At 39.8% G+C, this 14,742-nt stretch overlaps 1 protein-coding gene across 5 annotated transcripts in view; it reads right to left on the bottom strand.

The window, feature by feature from the left end:
* The window catches only part of ADGRG4 (adhesion G protein-coupled receptor G4), a 115,928-nt gene that overhangs the window by 6,217 nt on the left and 94,969 nt on the right, over nt 1–14,742 (bottom strand). For 4 of the 5 annotated variants that reach the window (NM_153834.4, XM_011531269.3, XM_047441830.1 and 1 more), the window contains 4 exons: nt 12,672–12,793; nt 10,558–10,826; nt 7,352–7,430; nt 4,702–4,982 (listed from right to left, as the gene is read on the bottom strand). In NM_153834.4, coding sequence (NP_722576.3) covers nt 4,702–4,982; nt 7,352–7,430; nt 10,558–10,826; nt 12,672–12,793 — 751 coding nt within the window. Of the gene's footprint in view, nt 1–4,701; nt 4,983–7,351; nt 7,431–10,557; nt 10,827–12,671; nt 12,794–14,742 lie in introns of those variants that run through there. The other variant, XM_047441831.1, reaches the window with a different exon arrangement.

Genomic DNA, 14,742 nt, shown 5'->3' with positions numbered 1-14,742 from the left:
AACTCGCACATCCATCTACAACATAGTGATAACTGCTTGAGCCTCAAAATATTTATTTTGATCCAAGTGCAGTTTGGAAACCTTTATTCTCTATACAGGTTCAGCTTGCCTCTAAATTGGCTGGTTGTCCTGAAGGTAAATGATTAGTATCAAAGAGGTCTTAACCCATTGTAAACTGAGCACCAGTCTATTGTAAATGTCCCAAAGCAAATTTCAGCTACAGCACTACTGGAAGTAAAGAATCTTGACTGAGGCGAGTGACAGTCTCCTGCCATATTCTGTCCTTGTTTGACCATACCTCCCACCAGCACCATGTTCAGTTTGGGAGGAGAGGAAGATGACAAACAGAAGTATTCAAGAATACGGTGAAGAAGGATAGTGAAAAAAAGCTGAAAGAGTTGGGATATTGTATCTAGATTAAAAAAAAACTTGGAGTGGAAAACATAGGGTGAGAAGAGATGCTTACTTAGCCACAGATCTGAAAGGGCTGTCATGAAAAGGACAAACTAGGCTTGTATCTGTACAGTTGCCCGGTTAGAACCAGGAGCAATGGAAGAAAGTTTCAGAGCAACCATGTACTAACAAATCACAGCTAGTGTTTATTTAGCAATTAGTATATGGCAGGCATTGTACTATTAGTCTCATTTTTATAGTTGAGGGAACTTGGAGTCCAAGAAGTCTAGTAAACTTGACCCAGGTCACAGGGCTAACATGGAGCTAGCAGCACCAGTTCTGAATGCAGGCAGTCTGACTATAGAACACAAGGGCTTAACTACTGTACTATACTAGCCTCAGGTAAGGAAAACTGGTACCACATCAGAGCTGATAAGAAGTTAAATGCTTTGCTTTACAGAATGGTGAGCTCTTAGTCCCTGGAAAGTTTCAGGCAGAGGCAAGTGACTTCCTGTCACTCAATGGGAAGTTTGATTGGGAAGATCTTGGCTCCCTAGCCCCAGCCCTGAGACTCGGATTCCAGGTGGGAGGCAGCAATCTGGAGGCTAAACGGAATGGCATGTCTCGCTAACTCTCCCAAGGGTTTTATCTCCATGTGTAACCAAACAACTGCGGGGATGAATTCAGCAGTGTTCACTGTTTTTCTGAGCAGCAGCCACCTGGAAGGCGGTGCAGCACCCCGAGGAGAGCAAACCACAGTCTCAGAGCAGGCAAAACTCCTCCAACTTCAGCATGTACAAGGGGTGACAGTGACATCAAGCACCTATTACTACTCTGATTTCTTGCATGGAGTTTAGTTTTCCGACTTAAAAGGTTATTCTGTGAATTCCAATGAACTGCCTGCCAACTCTCCCCCTCTGCCTGACAGCTTTCCTTTTCCTTTCCCATAACAGATTGATCTGCTTACTCACTAGGAAAACACAGGCATGAGGGAAGATGTCAGGTTTTTGTCACCTGCATTTTTATTTGTGCATTCCTCCTTCACAAATAGCTCATCATGAGCATAATTTTTTCCCACTTGACCACAGGTCGCCCCCATCCCCTTCAGCCAGCATTGCAAGCTTGTCATTTGTCTTTTAAACGACTACTTTGTTCACTTGTTCCACTGTTTGTTTTGGAGGTTATTCGGGTTGTGTGTGTGTGTGTGTGTGTGTGTGTGTGTGTGTGTGTGTCTTGAATTTGAAACTCTGAGCTCTGAAAACTCCCTTGCTACAAGATGGCACATGCTATCTTGCAGTCATTTTAGGCAGGACTGGCAAGACTTTGTGCTTGATGGGCATAAGGCATATCTGACAGACAGAGACAGCTTGGCTCTTTTGGTGCTGGATCTATGGGACTTTGATTTTAGTTTTCAAGAAATACCCAATTAGAACACTTATATACTGTTGGTGGGAATGTAAATTAGTTCTGCCACTGTGGAAAGCAGTTTGAAGATTTCTCAAAGAAATTAAAACAGAGCTACTATTTGACTCAGCAATCTCATTATTGGGTATATATCCAGAAGAAAACAGATCACTCTGCCAAAAAGACACATGTACCCTTATGTTCATTGCAACAATATTCACAATAGCAAAGACATGGAATCAAACTAGGTGCCCATTAAAGGTGGATTGGATAAAGAAACTGTCTACATAGCCACCATGGAATACTACACAGCTATAAAAAAAGAATGAGATCATGTCATTTGCAGCAGCATGGATGCAGCTAGGAGCTATTACGCTAAGTGAATTAATGAAGGAACAGAAAACCAAGTACTGCATGTTCTCACTTAAAAGTGAAAGCTAAACATGGGGTACACATGGACATAAAGATGGCAACAGTAGACAACTGGGGACTATTAGGGGGAGAAGAGGGAAAAAGTAAGGGTTAAAAAGCTAACTATTGGGTACTATGCTTACTACCTAGATGATGGGATCATTCATACCCCAAGCCTCAACATGACATGATATACCCAGCTAACAAACCTGCACATCTACCCCCTGAATCTGAAATAAATGTTGAAAAGAAAAGAAATATCCTATTAAATTCTGCTTCTATCCATGCAGGCTCCTTCCTTAGATGCTACTTTCCACCATAAGAGTGGTTTTGAAAACACCCCTGCCCCTCCTTTATAAGCTCGAAATTGCCTAGCTTTCTTGATCTTTTGCCAGCTTTCCTTTAACCCCTCTTTCCACAGAGTGAGTACATTTCTCCTCAGAATCACTGAGCCAAAGAGAAGCCTGGAGTTACCACTGTGGATGAAGTCTTCACAGGCACCTGGGTTCTAAACCGTTTCCGTGGACATTCTATACCATGACTGGTTAGTTCTTGAGGTTAGAGCATCGGGTTAGAATACTGTAGTGTGGGCCAGACAGTTCTATCCAGAGAAAAAGTGTAGAACCATCACCAGGGCCTCAGTCCTACACTAGAATACAACCTTCAGTTCTACACTAGAATTCAACCAAGTGCCAGTAGCCTCAAAGGGAACCAAGCGAGGATGGTATTGAGAGTTTCTAAAAATTCCATTCCTACTACCAGAGGCAATAAAAATGGCATGTGAAGGAAGAACAACATATTTTGTGACTTCTTACATTCCAATTAGAACATGGATGTATATGGTTGGCAGGATCTGGTGGGACAAAAAGTTTCCGTTGATCCACCTCATTGCTCTAAAATAAGATAGTTTCTTGAGTCCTAAAACATAAATGCAAAAACCATGCCTTCTGCTACATTGCTTCCCACCCCCTCAACTCCGCAGCACTTTGCAAGTGCCTGTCATATAATAACTGCATGTCAATTTATTTTTCTCAAGGTTCCTCAAGGATTAACAATGACCACAATAAAAGGTTCAGAGGTTTTTAAGACACTACATTAAAACAACTTTTTAAAGGTTTTTTTTTTTTCATAATAGAGCTTTTACCATGCTAATGTATACAGTGCTATTCCAAGAAAGGGGGAATGTAATTTGCCACATTTCCCAAAGTTATTTGACCATAGAACTTTTTCCTTGTGGGAGCATCCCATGGTACCATCAGTGGGCTTCAGTATGGAAAATAAGGGTTTATTGAATGAAAAAAAAATAGTGGAGAGCACGAAGGGAGACTCTAACTCAATGAAATGCCAACTTGACTCTCAGCCTGTCCCAGTAGCCCAAATGGACTGGACGACACTTGAGGATAAAAGTATGGGGTAGAATTAGAGACTCACACAAAATCATTTTGCATGCCTCTTCCCCCCAATATTTTTAATAGGCAAAATCAAGTTAAGATGAACGTCAGCAATTATTCAGAGCTATATGAACCAGACTCTAGCTTTTTTTTTTTTTTTTGACAGAGTCTCTCTTTGTTGCCCAGGCTGGAGTGCAGTGGCACGATCATAGCTCACTGCAACCTCTGCCTCCCAGAGTTTGAGCAATTCTCCTGCCTCAGCCTCCCAAGTAGCTGGGACTACAGGCACACACCACCATGCCCAGATAATTTTTATATTTTTTAGTAGAGACGGGGTTTCACCATGTTGGCCAGGCTGGTTTCAAACTCCTGACCTCAAGTGATCTGCCTGCCTCGGCCTCCAAAAGTGCTGGGATTCCAGGCACGAGCCATCACACCCGGCCCCTAGCTTTTACTTCTCATGCCATCTTTTGTCTACCATTTCATCACTTCATTGATTATTTGTTCATTTCATCGGAATAAAGGAAAATAATTAAAAGAGCTCTAGGGCCTTTAGCTTAGGATCATCTAATTCAACCAATTATTGTAACTTTTTAAAGGTTGTTTTACAGCAAACTCAAGGCTACAACCTTGGCCTTTCCCACAGCCCTTTGATTTTAACCTTCATTCCTGTATGATTCTATGATAGTCTAGCCTGGCTCTTTCCCAAAATATTAGGATATCAGATGCAGATAGAGCCTATGGGGTCAAAACTTTAATGTTTTTGCTTTCCAGTTAATTGCTATGTTTAGCTGGATTGTGTACCTCAAAAAGTCAACGTGAGTGTGAATCTGTACATTTTCTAGCACAATGTGTTGATACAATGAACACTATAAGAAGTATTGCCAATCAGTGTTTGATATAGACATTTCCAATTACCTAAAGTTGGGTTACCTATCTGGGCTTCTCCCTATACCACTGAGCAAGAGAGAGTGGGCTGTGGGTGCATTTAATGAAGACTAACATCTAGTTAATGTTTCCAACAGGTGATTATTTTCCAAAGCAACAAAAGCTTTGCTGCATGTGTAGCTGGCCACAGAAAAGGCAAAAAAGCACCAGTTACCTTGCAAAGTGTTAAAAATGGCAAACAAATACAAGAAAAAGTTCCTCATGGGTCCCCAAGCAAAAAATGCAAACCCCCAGGTGAGGCCAAGTAAGAATGTCAGGCTCATTGTGCCTTTGAGGTCATGCAGGATCATCTTCCGCCGAGTCTTCTGGATTTGGGATTTCACAGAATTCAGTTGAACAAGAACAGTGCAGAACATGGAGAGATTCATGAGAAATATGAGGCAAAAATAAGCCACCACTGAGATGTAAAAGATAGAATCATCTTTAATCCAACAACTGTAAGAAACAAAGAAGACTATCATGAGATAGGGAAACATAAAGTCCTATTTCTCAGAGACTGAAGATCATCTAGTCAATTTTATTTCACCCTAAGGGCATCTGCCCTAGAGAAATGAACTGGACAGAGTTCACTCATACCAACTGGAGGCAGAGCTGGGACAAAAACCTCAATCTCCTGAGCCCCAGTTCAGGGTTCTTTCCAACACTAAGTCAGAAATCCTAGAGGATGTTTCTGCCCTACATATGCAGAAACCTGTCAGTCCAATTCCCTAGGAAATGGTTCTCTTCGTTAACAGCAGAAAAACGAATGATACATTTTCCCCCAAAGTGGCTCTCTGTCGCCGTGCTCCCCACACCGCCCCCGCACGCCCTGCCCCCCCGCCACCACCTTACACCTAAGCTCTTATTTGCAGGATTAATTCTACTTTACATGATAAATATCACAGTGAAAGGATGTGAGCAATGAATGGATTTTCTGAAAGCTACATCAAACAATGGTGAAATTATGAAAGTTAATGAAAATGCTACAAAAAGAGAACTCTAGGTGTACTGCTTTAAAATATGATGTATTTGGATGACAAAGGCAACACTGGTTACTGGATTGATTAACAACTCTACGGTTTTTATTAAAGAAAAAATATGCAGTGATTCATATGAACAGATAGTCCATTTAATAACATTTGCAATTACTGGAGGCATTTTCCCTGATTTTTGAACACAGAGAAGCTTGACTAATTTAACTGTGTGTCAACTTAGCTGAGCTCTCTTTTCTAAAACCAGGAAAATCTCTTTTGGTCATGTCGTTTATGTTGGCGTGGATACTTACACATATGTGTGAGTTTGTGTGTGTGTGTGTTGCAAACATGTTAAAAAAACATTTAATTTTCCTAATAGATTCTGACACCTAGAGTTCCCTGAATGTCATCAGCATCCTTAAAAGACGCCACAGAAAACTGTTAAAATGAGATAGTGTTATATGTTTGGGTAGAGAATCACCTCCAAGATATATTGTTAAGTGGAAAGACCAAGGTGCTAAATGGTGTATATCTACCACTTGGGTAACAAAGTGTGCAAGAGAATATCCATACAAATTTGATCGTTGGTAATAAATTGGTAATAAGAGTTACCTCAGGAGGGAAACTGGGTAGCTAGGGGTTGGAAGCGGGGCTTACTTTTCATCCTCTACCCTGTTGTACGTTTGGATTTTGTTCCATGTGCATGAATTACTTCTTCAAAATATAATTTGAAAAAAAACTATTAGAGCAGTCGGCCTCTTACTAACCAAGTCACATCTGAAAAATCTCTTTTGGGAAAAAGTGGAGTTGATTTTGTTCTGATTTTGCTTTTGCTCTTGCTTTTGATGGTTCAAGAAGGGTCACCATTAGGTAGACACTGGGGACTTTTTAAGTCACAAAACGGGCAAAGGGGGAGGATGGAGGGGGAGATGAGAAGGAAGGGAAGAGAAAATGGAAGAGAAAGAAAACATAACAAGGAATTTTAATTAGAAAGCATCTGCTGCAAAGGGCAAAATAATTTTGACCCCATGGAAACTGTCATCTCAGTATGAAAGATGGGGGAGTCTTAGAGCAGGACCTTCTACATTTAATTCCAGTCCAGTGGGAGAGGAAATCTATAGTGGAAGAGAACTTGAGAGGCAATGATAAAAAGAATGGAACAATCAGAAGTGTAAAATGAGATTGTGCAGCCTAAAGGACCACAGGGCAACTATCTACATGCCTGTAAAAGAAGGTTCTGGAGAGGTGGGGTGAAGTGAATTGCTACTCTCGCGTGATTGTGGTTGAGAGAACTAAAGAGATGAACTTATACATCAAATGGGAGAAAAGGAAAAAAATGAAAAGAAACAAGAGGACAATAAAGCCGAGGCCGTTTACAAAGGAAAGCTGTTCAGCGTTCTTCAGGGAAGACCTTTGTTGTTGAAAGGTAAAAAATGTTTTCCAAATCATCTCAGAATTTCCTTGTAGGGGCCACTAACTCTTTGCAATGACCTGATGTGTGAGCTTTGTAATCATAATACCTGCCAGTTACACAGCATAGAACAGGCAATATGCTGAGCACATTTCATACATCATATCATTTTAATTTGCACAGGACATTAAGAGAAAACATTATTATCCCCATTTTCCAGAAGAGGAAATTGAACTGAAAGGTAAGGTAACTTGCCCAAGGTCATAGAGGACCCGGGCAACTAACCATCACATAAATGTGGCCTATGTTTAGGGCAAAAGGACTTAGGTTGATTTCTTCCTGAAGCCAAGGGTCAAGACCAATCCCAGGCCAAGAACATTTTACTATACCCTGCTGGGCCAGAGCCCCACCACCAGAGAAACAGAGATGCTGGTACTTACAACGGAGTTGTTGGGCTCAGAGTTCCATACAGATCTTTTTTCACACTGACTGTGATTGCCACCATGATAGCCGGGATTCCTGCAGTGGGAAAGCAAGTCAAAGGCATTTCATCAGGTAGCAGGGAGGCAACCTAATCAATGACTGTGGGTGATGATACATTAAGACACTGTTTAAATAAGCCACAGATGTGCGGGCATCAAAATACTATTGTTTGCAAAATGTTTGTGAATTCTTCCAAGTTAAGCATTTCAAGGAGTTCTCCAATCTGCTAAACTAGACAGCATGCCAATGGCTCCAATACAACGCCCACTAGTTATTAAAAATAGCTCAAGTGCCAGAAAATCAACTTGGCAAAAGAAGTATCTAGTTGAGTGGAATGCAAGTTCGCATCAAGCATTTCTTCTTAGATCATGAGCCCCTAATTTTTACTCCCTTTCACATCGCCCCTTTGTTCCCAATAGCTTTTTGTCTAGGTCACCTTAGGAGAAGGGCACAGGCAATCAGCTGCAGCCTTCAGTGCTTTTTTGACAGGGAAACTGTTTCCACACTCGTTACTAGTTTGACATTTTGACTAGATCGACCGGTTAACAACCACTCAATTCAGTCAGACTATAATAAAGCAATCAGTTCAGTCAAAATGGTCAAACGTGAGGAGAGTGTAGACACAGGGTTTAAAAATCCAATTTCTTGTACATTTGCAAAAAAAAAAATGATTTCTTTATCTCTCAATTGTATTTCTCCTAGACTAAGCGCATGCACCTACATACATTTTAGGGGTTTTGTTAAATGCTTTCCAAAGCTGTTCCAAAGCCCAGAATGCCAAGTATCTTGAAAAATCCTCCACTGTCCCATTCTGTGATAAACAGGATGGTCACTTCAAATCTGTATAGCCCACCCCAAGCACAGCACCTAGAATGCTGCAGATGTTTTTTAAAATAGAAGGCTGGAAGGGAGAGACAGGGGAAGGCCTCATATTTAGGATGGAAGTTGTGCGGCAGTCTTCAAGCTGTGTTTACATATTGAAAATAAAAAAAAAAGATCCCTTCTGTTGTTATTTTAAAAATATAAACAAATCTACTGTCTTGGACAGGGGTTCATTAAGTTGGTGCAAAAGTAATTGTGGTTTTTGTCATTAAAAGTAATAAACCTTTCCAACAGGTTGCTTTGGCATTCATAAGGCAGAGCATCAAACATAAACAGATATTAATACCTATTTTCCTTACAGTTGATTGCTTTTGTCTAATATTGAAATGCTCCAAAACTCCCTGTAGTGGGACAGCTCAGCTGTGGCTCCCTGGTGACCGTGCATGTATCCACATAGACCACACAGGTAAAGGCTTATCTGAATTTGGGCGGTGTGCAGGCCTCCACAAATTTGAGAAGGTGGGAGGCCTGTGAGGAGGTGCTCCGGGGCCATCTCCTACTCACCTCCCTATCTCCTCCAGGAGGCTGTCAGGAGACAGCTTCTCATCATCTCCCAGGGTTCTGCAGAGGTGTGGGCCTTTGTACCCTGCCCCCTTAGAATAGGGCTGCAGAATAGGAAACAGTATCACTTCCATTCAAAACTAGCTCCTCAGCCACTGGGAATCCTACAACTCACGTGGCGGTCATCCATTCCCTTTGTTTTGGGGTCGTTCTTTTTAGTGTGGGGGACAAGAATGTGAAAGATGGCACTTTTAGGTACTCTTCCTTTCACAGTTTATGTAAGTAATAAACTGAACATAAGAGTGGCTTATTGTATCTTTCTTTACTGATTGAGCCAGTCAGACTTCTCAGCTTCTGTGTGTAACTAAAGTTTTCCTGCTTCCAAGTACCAAGCTTTAGCCTTTCCTGCCTCTCCTTGTAACCCAAGAAATGTGTATGAAATTAGAAGATCAAAGAGATAAGAAGTGAGTCCTGGAGGAAGGGTTTAAAAAAGAAGCTGGGAATGAGTGATGATGAGGGAGAAGGAAAGCCAGGATGAAGTGATATTTACAGCCCTTTCACAATTGGCCATGTGTGGGTTATCTGCTTTTTGGATTATTCATGAAGCCTCTTCCACATTTTTCAATCCTCTGATTGAATCAAGATGAGGGACACAAGGCACTAAGGGGAGTGTATCGACTGCTTTTGTCTCTGTGCTTCCGATGGATTCCGAAGTGTACTAAAACAAGCTTTTAGATTATGATCTGTTCAGTATTTGCCTGTCTCTGCTCCCCATATTAACATAGATAATAGCACTGACTGTGTATCCAGTGAAAGCATGTACTATGTTAATGAACTCATTAAAGGGATGAGTAGCTAATCAGGAGAGTATTGTCTTCACAAAGGCAGTGGAAGATAAAATCTGTGTTCCTATGTACCCAAGGTATGCTACTTAATATACATCTCCTACACATCTAACACATTTTCTGAACCCAAAATCTGCCTTGAATACACAAGGGAGAGAGAGGAAAGGAGCCGAGCTGACCATGTCAGTTAGAAATACAGGAAAGCAAGCCAATGAAATGACATTTGTATTCAGAAAGATCTATGCTGAGAACCATTCCTGGCTTCTTCCAAGGCCAGCAGTGATCATCACAGTCATGAGGTGTGATGAGAATCAGGTTCTGGCTGACCCAGCACTCTTTCACCCATTTCAAGTCTTTTCCTGTTCTTTAAACAATATGGCAAGACCATAGAGGTTAGAAGTCCAAACTATGGAGACAAACTTCCTGGCTCAAATCCCAGCTCTCTTGCCTACTAGCTGTGTGAGTTTTGGCAAATTACCTCATCTTTCTGTGTGCCTCAGTCTCCTCATCTATTAAATGGGAATAATGATGGAATCTATCCCGTGGAGATATTATGAGGATTAAATGCATATATAAAGCACTTAGAATAGCATCTGGCACATGTAAGTGCTACCTAAGTGTTAGCTGTTTTATCAGTATTTGTTGTGACTGTAACTTCTGTAAAGGAAGGGATAAAATCTGTTCACTACTATAGAGCCAGCACTTAGCACAATACACAATAAGTGCTCAATAAATATTTGTGCACCAGCTCCTCACCATAAAGGTTAAAAATTGAATTTATAGAGCAATACAGGCAGAAAAAAAAGATGCATGCCCAAACACCAGCAAGGCGATCCTTAATTTTTTACCTATGATATTAACAGAATCTAACAGAGCTAGAATTAGAAAGACAGACTTAAGACATAAATATCAAAAACAATGGCAGATATACTTACCCCAACCAACTAGACAAAATTTAAGGATATAATTTGGAATGTATATGTTGAAGACTTTGACTAGAGCCAAATACATGTGGACTGCCTCCAGGCCCATCCAAGTAAAAGAAACAAGCAGGAAGTAATGAAGTGCCACTGCAGCTGTGATACAAACTCCCACTTTCTGAAATGATGACAACCAAGAATTGATCAAAAATACCAGGTTTAGCATCAGTAGTGCTGTGCACAGGTTGATCAGAATTTTGGCAGGATAATCTTTTCGAAGTTTGCTAAAAGAGAAAGTACAATGTTGTTAGGTAAAGTCTGTTTTTTTTTTTTTAATTAAACATCGCCACATCTTATCTACATAATAAGTGAAAGAATAAAAGAATTACTCATCTTTGCTTATACTTTGAAGTCCCTCATTCTCTTTCCAGGTAAAGTCGAAGCATAATAAATATAGTGACCTTAACTAACAGAAATAATAATAGTCTCTCTCAACTACGCAGTTGAGAGAGGCTATTATTTTTCTTTTTATCTTTTAGAAAGAAGGAAGGAGTTTCCTGGGTACTATGAGTCTATCACCACTGCTTCAGCAGGCTGGAGCTACATATTACCAAATAGCAGGATGACTGTGGAAACCATTCCAAGTAGAGCTACTTGGATAGTTCTAAAGATCCCGATATATGGCCTCATGGAAATATGGTCTTAAGTTTTATTAAGTGATTGCAACTTTACTTTGCAGAAACTCACCCAGTATTTTTCAAAATAAAAAAAGTATTACCCCCTTTGATTATTTTACGCTGTTATTAAATATTTATTGATTTAAATTTTGCTGTTTTCATTTTGTGTGAATTTTTTTCTGAGATAAATATTAAAGTGCACAAGTGTTAACAATATAACTTGATGGATCTTTACATATGTATATACCTGTGGAACTTCGACACAGATCAAGAGGTAGAATAGTTTCAACATCCCAGAAGGCTCCTTCATGCTTCTCCCATTCAATATCACCCACCAGAGGTAACCAATACTCTCACTTCTATCCCCATAGATTTCACCTGTGTTTGGAACTTTTTGTAAATGGAACCACACAGTACGTTGTCTTATTTTTCTGGCTTCCTTTGCTCAATTCTATGTCTATGAGATTTAAATATTATGTTGCATTGCATAGAAGTAATTCATTTTTTACTGCTGTGTAGCATTCCATTTTACAAATATATCACAATTTATTCATCTAATCAACTGTTAATGTAAATTGGGGTTGTTTCTAATTTGAAGCTACTGTGACTGAAGCTGCTATAAATATTATTGTACATATCTTTCAGTGGACATATGTGCTCATTTGTCTTGAGTATATATCTAAGAGTGAAATTCCTGGGCCAACAGCGAGATGTATATTTATATTTAACAGGTATTGCCGAATAATTTTCCAAAGTGTCTGAACCATTTTACATTCCCACTAGCAAATGTATGAGTTCCAGTTGTTCCACATGCTTGTTGACACTTGCTATTGTCATTATTTTTAATTTTAGCCATTCTGGTGGGTGCAGAGAAGTACATAACTGTGGTTGTAATTAGGATTTCTCTGATGAGTAATGATGTAAAGAACTTTGTCATATGCTTATTGGCCATTTGGTAAGGGTTAGGCTTAGGCATGGATATTCTCTTTTGTGAGGTGCCTGTTCAAGTCTTTTGTCCATTTATAAACTTTATTGTCTTTTGCTTTTTGATTTGTGGAGTTATTTATACATTCTGCATACAAGTCTTTTATCTGATATATGCATTGTGAATATCTTCTCTCTATGTAAGGTTTGCCTTTCACTATCTGAATTGTGTCTTTTGATTAAAGAAGTTCTTAATAAAGTCCACTTTATCAAATTTTCTTTTAGGGTTGGTGCTCTTATATCCTATAGAGAAATCTTTTCCTATCCCAACTCCCTTGTTTTACAAAAATCCAATTAAAATATTTTTAGAGAAGCCTTGATGTTTTGTTTTTAACCTGTCCACTTCATAAGCTAATGGATCTGACTTCTTCCTATTGTGATGTGTTCATGAAATTAACAAAGTTACAATGGTAATAGCATCCATCAAACCAAATTAAATGTGCTCAGAGCAAGGCTGTATCAACTTACTGAAAAGCTATGTATGTCACCACTGCAACTCCCAGAAAAATGGAGGAGATTCCACATCCGGTGTATGTTATAAGCGCTAATATCTGTTCATTCACTGAATCCACTGTAGACCTGGATAAATCCTAAGGAACACAATGTGTTGTGTTTTACACATACACCAGAGCAAGTTTATGGCAAAATGCTTCCAGTGTTCACTAACAGGAAGTTCCCAGGATGTATAACATTTCTGCCATAGCTCTTCTAAAACCAGATTATGTGAATGGATGTATGGTAAGACCAAATATTGTTTGCTGAGTATGCCTAGTCCAACTGACTGTGTACAGGGCATGGGGAGCCATCAATAGCATTGGAAGAACATTTGGTCCTTGGCTTCATCATCATTAACATGTTCTACATTTAAAATATAACCAAGCTGAGAGATGTGAATTTGGGATGCAAAGTGAATAATTATCTGAACTGAGCATCTCAAAACACTACACAGAACAGCAAAAAAAAAAAAAAAAAAAAAAAAGTCCTTTTCCTTAGTCCTTAAATAGCCTTCACAAAATTAACAAACAAAATGGACCTTAGAGATCACAAAGTTCAGTGATTTATTAATTACTATTAAAGATCTGAAATGACATGTAAAATTATTTGAATATATGTGTGCACTGGTCTAAGAACAAAGTCCATAGCTTTCATCAGATGATTAGAGATTCATGACTCATCAAAGGTTAAGAAGCAGTGTTTACTTTGGTAGTTCTCAACCAGGAGTGATGTTACCCCTCTCCCAGGGACATTTGGCAGTATCTGGAGACATTTTTGGTTGTCACAACTGGGGAGAGTGCTACTGGCATCTAGTGGGGAAAGACCAAGGATGCTGCTAAACTTCTCACAATGCACAGAACAATCCCCCACGACAAAGAATTATTTGGGGCCGGGCGGGGTGGCTCATGCCTGTAATCTCAGCACCTTGGGAGGCTGAGGTGGACAGATCACGAGGTCAGGAGATTGAGACCATCCTGGCCAAAATGGTGAAACCCCGTCCCTACTTAAAAAATACAAAAGTTAGCTGGGTGTGGTGGTGGGCACCTGTAATCCCAGCTACTGGGGAGGCTGAGGCAGGAGTATCACTTGAAACCAGGAGGTAGAAGTTGCAGTGACCCGAGATTGCACCACTGCACTCCAGCCTGGTGACAGAGCAAGACTCCGTTAAGAAAAAAAAAAAAAAAGACAGAACTATTTGGCCAGAATATCTATAGTGCCAAGATTGAGAAACCCTGGTGTATTCCAGTCATTCACATTTCAGAAGAAAATCTAAGATCCAAAAGAGGGAAACAACCTTACCAAGATCACATAGTTAGTTACAGACAGAGCTGGAACAAGAACCCTGGTCTCTCTCTCTCTCTCTCTTTTTTTTTTTTTTTTTGGGACAGGTTCTCACTCTTTTGCCCAGGCTGGAGTGCAGTGGCCTGACCACGGCCTACTGCAGCCTCAACCTCCCTGGACTCAGGTGATTCTTCCCACCTCTGCCAGGGAGGCGGAGCTTGCAGTGAGCCAAGATAGAACCACTGCACTCCAGCCTGGGTGACAGAGCAAGACTCCATCTCAAAAAAAAAATATATATATATACATACATATATATATATATATATATGTAAAATAAATAAATATAAAACAGACCCACAGCCCTCAAAAAGCTAACCATTCTTTGTAGGAATAAGTAACATATGACACATTCAGATAACAGTATGTAATAAAGTTACCTAAGAAATCCAGGAAAGTATTCTGATGCGGGTAGAGAAAAAGGAATACATTTGAGAGTCATTTGGAAGAAAAACTCAGCAAATACTTATGATCCTTCTTAAATTTAAATATTTTAATGACCAGACCCTTTAATCCAGCAATTCTACTTCTGTCAACTTATCCTGCAAAAATACTTACACCAATGTTTGAAGATACATGAGTAAGAATGTGTATTACAGCAATATTTATAATGAGAAAAACAGCAACAGCTATAATGTCCACTAGTCAGGGATTAGTTAAATTTATTGTGTTAAACCCAAGCAATGGTATACTATAAAGGTATTTT

This window comes from Homo sapiens, chromosome X (assembly GCF_000001405.40).
Source record: "Homo sapiens chromosome X, GRCh38.p14 Primary Assembly".
NCBI lineage: Eukaryota > Metazoa > Chordata > Mammalia > Primates > Hominidae > Homo > Homo sapiens.
The sequence above is the reverse complement of the archived record's forward strand: the minus strand, read 5'-3'. Positions and strand labels throughout refer to the sequence as shown.